Here is a 6,712-nt window from a genome sequence, read left to right on the forward strand (position 1 = left end):
AAAGATGATAGAATTAGTGGCTAAGGACAATAATTGTTATTTCATATATGTCCATATAAATAGATCAAGATTAAACATCTTAAGTAGAGACATGGAATATATAAAAAAGACCCAGATCAAATAGATAGAGATGGAAACTCAATGTTCTGAGATGAAAAATATTTTGGATGGGATTAATGACAGATTAGGCATTGCAAAAAAAATTAGTGAACTTTAAGACAGCAAAAGAAACTATTCAAAATGAACTATGGAAAGAAAAATGACTGAAATGAAAAGGAACAGAGCCCTGGAACAAATTCAAGTGACTAAATATGTTTGCAATTGGAATCCCTAAAGATTAGGATGAGTAAAAAAATATATTTGAAGAAATAATGACCAAAAAATTTCCATATATAATGAAAACTATAAACACATGGACACAAAAAAACTCAATGAACTCCAAGAATAGAAAACATGAAGAAAACCACACCAAGGTACATAAAAATCAAATTGCTTTAAACCAATGATGAAGAGACAGTAAATATTAAAAGTAACCAAAGGAAAAAGATACAGTACATTCAGAGAAACAATAGTAAGGTTGAAAGCAGATATGATCACAAACAATAGAAGCCAGAAGACAGGGAAACAACATCTTTAAAGTACAGAAAGAAAAAAACAATTGCCAATGTAGAATAGTTAAAATACCTTTTGAAAATGAAATATTATTTCCAATGTCCTCATCTTCACTCTCTCATCAGCCTCATCAGCCATGCCCTTCCTTGCACAAAAAGTCCTCTTTGGAGAGAGTTTTCCAGCCATGGAATTAGAGTCCCCTTCTGTAGCTGCCACCAGCTTGAGCCCCTTGTGAACACTTGAGGGAAAATAACTGAGTAGGGTGATGATGAGGTACTGTTGTTTTGAGGTTTTTTACGTAGTGCTTTGGATTTTTTTAAGGTACTGTTCTCTGTTACAAAATTTATGCATTTTTTATTTTTAAAAGAATGTCAAAAAGAAAAGAAATGTACAAATTATACTCTTCCCTTACTCTTACCTAATGGTGAAAGTCTGAATGAATGTTCTTCCCTATAAGATCAGGAATAAAGCAAGGGTCACTATTTCTCTCCAACATTATCCTGGAGTGTCTAGCCAAGTATAATAGCTCAAGAAAAAGGGATAAATGTTGTTCATACCAGAAGAGAAGAATCAAAACTTTCTTGATTTGCAATTGACATAGTTTTCTATTAGAATATCCTGTAGAAACTTTAAATAGCTACCAGAACTACTGAGCAAGTTTAGCAAGGCTGCAGAATACAAGAAGAGAATACAAAAATGAATTATATTTCTAATACTAACATCATTGTTCTAACGAACAATCAGAAATAAAATTTAGAAAAAAATAAGTATTATTAAAAATATGAAATACATGGGGATGAACCTGATAAAGATATGAAAGGCCTGTACACCAAAACTACAAAACATGGCCGAGATTTCTGAAATCTGGCCAGGCATGGTGGCTCACACCTTTAATTCCAGTACTTTGGGAAGCTGAGGAAGGCAGATCACTTGAGCCCAAGAGTTCAAGTCCAACCTGGGCAACATGACAAAACCCCATCTCTACAACAAAATACAAAAATTAGCCAGGCATAGTGGCACATGCCTGTACTCCTAGCTACTTGGGTGGCTGAGGCAGGAGGATCTCCTGAGCCTAGGAGGTTGAGGCTGTAGTGAGCCATGATTACACCACTGCACTCCAGCCTGTGTTGACAGACTGAGACCCTGTCTCAAAAATATGTATATTATAAATAAATAAAAAGACTTCTAAAATCTTAAAGATCTAAATAAATGGGAAGCTATACCATGTTCATGAATTGAGAGATTCAATATTTTTAATATCTCATTCTTCCAAAATAGATATATAAATCCAATGCAATTCCAATAGTGTTTTTTTTTCAAATGCCTTCAAAAATTCAGATGAAAATGCAAAGGACCTAGAGCAGCCAAAAAACTTTGAAAAAAAATGTTAGAGGACTTATTCTACCTGCCTTCAAGGCTTATTATAACTTATGTAATTAGGAGAGTGTGATATTGGCATCAAGAAAGACAATTAGATTACTGGAACAGATTAAGATTCCAGAAGTAGACCACACATATATGCTCAATTGACTTTTGGCAAAAGTGCAAAAGCAATTTAGTGGGATATAGACTTCATGCATAATAGTATGGGGAGCTCTGCAGACATGTTCCCCAGTAAAATGGTGAAATTATTTTATTATTTCATTTTTTAATTTAATTTTTTGAGACAATGTTGCACTCTATTGTCCAGACTGGAGTGCAGTGGTGCAATCATGACTCACTACAGCCTTGACCTCTTGGGCCTAAGCAATCTTCCCACCTCAGATACATGCTACCATGTTCCACTAATTTTTTTATTTTTTCTTTGTAGTCAGTCTCACAATGTTACCTGAGATGGTCTCAAACTCCTGAGCTCAAGCGGTCCTTCCACCTCAGCCTCCCAAATAGTGCTGGGATTACAGTATGAGCCACTGCATCTGGCCATGAAAATTGTTTTAAAAACAACTATTTAAATATCCCTAGAAATGGTTTTAAGAGTGCATAGCCAACGAAGAAACATTTGTCTTTTTAAGGCTACTAAAATTTGATAAGAACAATGAGAGTTTTGATATTTAAACCAAGACCACTTCTCTCTCCTCATTGACCACCAGTTCAGCAAGACAGAAATTCCACCCCAGACAGGTGCAGCCAAGAACACAGGGCTCCCTCTGCCCCCAGCAACCAGTCAGTGGGCCATCCTCCTTGGAGGGGCAGGACATCAGCATTCTCATCCAGTTCCCAGCTACCTGTTGCTGAGACTGAGTTCTAGGCAAGTATGCCCAAGGGATGGGCTTCCTTCTCCCATCCAGTCCCCACTGGTGGAACAGAGGCTTGGCCTTGGGCATGGCACCACTGAGAATTCTGTGTCTCTCATTTTCCCTGCCCTAGTTCATAAGGTGATGGTTCAATGCCAGGAGAGGCAAGATGAGAAGACCCAAAACCACTGTCCCCCCTCCACCTCATGATCAGCTCCTTAAGTAGGGATATCACTCAAAGAGAAGCACACCATTATCACAAACCCCAGCTCCAGAGCCCTGGATCAGATATTTCGCCTGGAAGAAGAAGCAAATCTAAAAGTAAATGGCACCTAATCTCATCCCAAAGCAATTGATTTTATTTGCAATAGAGCATGAAGAAGTTTAAACCTAAGGATGCACTCAAGAACAATGAAGGTTGTGGTGAAAGGCATTTGGAAAGATATTGGTAGATTTGTTGAAGATTTGTGCATAAGAGAGCTGGAGAAAGAGATAGATAGAAGTAGCCCTCCTAGGGTCAAAACAAATATCAAACACTGACCACAGGAACTATTCCTTCGAAGGAGATGAAATTTGATTGGCTAAGTCTGTAGATCGATTTATGCCCCAGGGCATTGTTGAAAACAATAATGCAATTAGCCCCCAGTTTGTAGAGTTTAGCAGCTGGGTGCAGTCTAGGGTAGAGACAGCTAAAGAGAGCTCTGTCAAAACCACTGTCATCCCAGAATGACTGTGGAAATACCCAAGGCTGCCCACCCTAGGAGTAACACCAGGGGTTTAACACTGTGTTTGTGTGTGTGTGTGTGTGTGTGTGTGTGTGCACGCATATGTGTGTGAGACAGAGAGAGAGAGAGAGAAGGGATGAGAGGAGAGAAATAGATAGAGATGGTGGTGGTGGTATGGTGGTGGTGGTGGTGAATAGATTTCACTAAGATAAAAGCTAGTCACTAAGCAAATAGCACGCAAATAATAAGCCCTGGAGAGGGGGACCAGAACCGAGACTTTCTATTATATATTATCTAAAATGTCTTGTTTCCAACAAAAAAAACTATGAGACATGCAAAGAAACAGGAAAATATGGCTCATATACTGAGGGAAAAAAGCAGGCAACAGAAATTACCTGTGAAAGTGACCAGATTTTGGATTTAACAAAGACTTCAAAGTAGCCATTATAAATATGTTCAAAGAACTAAAGGAAACCATGATTAAAGAAGTAAATGAAGGTGTGATGACAATATTGCATCAGATAGACAGTATTAATAAAGATACAAATTATTTAAAAAGATAGAAATTCTGGGGTTGAAAGGTACAATGATTGAAATGAAAAGTTTATCAGAGGGGCTCAACTTCTTGTGAAAGAATTAGCAGACTTGAAGATAGATTGATTCAGATTATACAATCCAAAGAACACAGAGAAAAAGAATGAAGAAAAATGAACAGAGTCTCAGAGAAATGTGGGATATCATTAAGCACGCCAACATAAATGTAATGAGAGTACCAGAAGAACAGAAGAGAAAGGATTTATTTGTATATAAAAACCATAATGACCTGACACATCAATTAGAATATCTAAAATTAAAAATAGCAGCCATCCCAAATGTTAGCAACAATGTGAAGCAACTACAGCTCTCATACACTGATGATAGAAATGTAAAATTGTACAACTACTTTATAAAACAGTTTGACAGGTTTTTAAATGGTTACACATATATTTATTATATAATGCAGCGATTCCTTTCTTAGGTGTCTTACCCAAGAGAAAGGAAGTCATATGCCCATACAAATACTTATTCATAAACATTCCTAACAGCACTATTTGTAATAGTCAAAAACTGAAAACAACCCAAATGTCCATCAAGAGGTGAATACATTATCAAGTTATGGTATATTTATGCAACAGAATACTGCTCAGCAATAAAAATAATTTAGTATTGATTTATACAATAACATGAATCACATGGATAAATGTTGATAAACTTCAAAATAATTATGCTGAATGAAAGAAGTCAGATGAAGAGAGTACACAGTTTTGCTTCCCTTTATCTAAAATTCTAAAAAGTGCAAACATCTATAGTGACAGAAAGCAGATCAGTGGTTGCCTGCGGTGGGGTTGAAGTGAGGAACAGGCAGACGTGAACAAAGGGGAACGAGGAAATGCTAGGGGTAATTAATATGTTCATTATCTTGATTATGGTGATGGTTTCACAGGTGTGTGCATAGGTCAACATGTATAAAGCTTTATGCTTTAAATATATTACTTTGTTTTATACCAATTATGCCTCAATATAGTTGTTTTAAAAATGTTATCAGAGAAAGAAGAAAACTAAAGTGAAGTAAATAATCATCCAGCTATTGGCTGATGGGTATTGTTATTCACATAAAAATTTTTCTAATAAAGAGTAAAAGTTGTATTTGAAAAAAAATCCTGGCACCCCAGTCCCGAGGATCCCTAGAAAATTTACAGGGGTGGCAGTCTTCAAAAATTTTTAAGGGCAGATTTTCAATCTTTGGCTTGCATATACCTTGCCAAGACATCCAAGGCACCTGCAATTTCTTGCTTACCAGGAATTTCCATCACCTGCCAGCAAGATTTTATTATATCAATGTAGCAGACCAGCCTGAAGTGCTATGGACTGATAGGGGTACAGTCTTTATGGGCTTGACTATAATAAAGAGACAGAGGGTCTAGTCAGGTAAACAAAAACAGTTTCTGGGCTCTTTGCTTAGGGGAAGTAATGAGACAAAGACATATTTCAGATTGATAGGTAAATACAAGAGGCCAAAGGTTTTACTCCAGTGAAGAAACTACATGTGGGACAGTAGCTGCAGTTGGAGTCATCATCTGATTAAGTTTATGATGATACACTCTTACCCTCTAAGACTGTCAGTCTTTGAAGCATATACTAAACAGGTGAGTCAAATGCAGATTGATAGGAATAATTACCCTGCATTTTTAGTCTTGCTTGGTTACGTTCATCTTTGAGGTTCCACACAGGGATTTAGTATTGCCTTCTATTTTTTGTAGGGTAATCCCAGGTCCTTCCACTTGGTTATTTCTACCATAATAACTGTTATTCGATGTGTCAGAAAGCCAATGTGGGAATTCCATCAGTTGTCAGGTGTGCTTATTGAAGCATTCACTCAGGAACAGTATAAATAACCACAAGACAGGTTTATGGATACATTGAACCAGCTATGAGAAGGACTCAACAAAATTCCATTTGTTATCACACCCGTATAAACACCCATTTTGATGGGTGGGCCACAGTGGAGTCCTGGGTTCCGGCAAATTAACCATGTCCAGAATTCCTAGAAAGTCTGGATATTTTCCTTTCTCTAGAACACAATTATTCTAATACATGGCTGCATATTCCTTTGGGGAAATACTAGGAAGAAGCAACAGAGTATACATTCCTTTTACAAGGGTATCTGGCCTCTTATTTTAGGTCAAGTTATTGAAGAATAGTTTACATACAATAAAATTTACTTTTAAAAAGTGTATAGTACAGTTCAACAAGCTTTGACAAATGAATACAATCATGTAACCACCATCATAATTGAGATTCATTAGGGGTTTTAATGTCAGTTGACAAGCTCATCCAAAAATTTGCACAGCAGAGCAAGACTCCAAAAATTAACATGAAAATTCTGAATCAGAAAAAATATGACAATTTTGACCAGATATGAAGACTTTAATGATTAACCTTTAGTATTAAATATAGTGTGAAATTATGCAGATATCAGTAGTCTAATGAAACAGAATAAATTCTAGAAACAGACTCATTCCTATAGACAAGTAATGTATTACAGAGGTGGCATTAAAAATCAAGGGATAAAGTATAAAATTTTCAATCCATGTGTTGGGA

This window comes from Homo sapiens, chromosome 13 (genome assembly GCF_000001405.40).
Source record: "Homo sapiens chromosome 13, GRCh38.p14 Primary Assembly".
Lineage (NCBI taxonomy): Eukaryota > Metazoa > Chordata > Mammalia > Primates > Hominidae > Homo > Homo sapiens.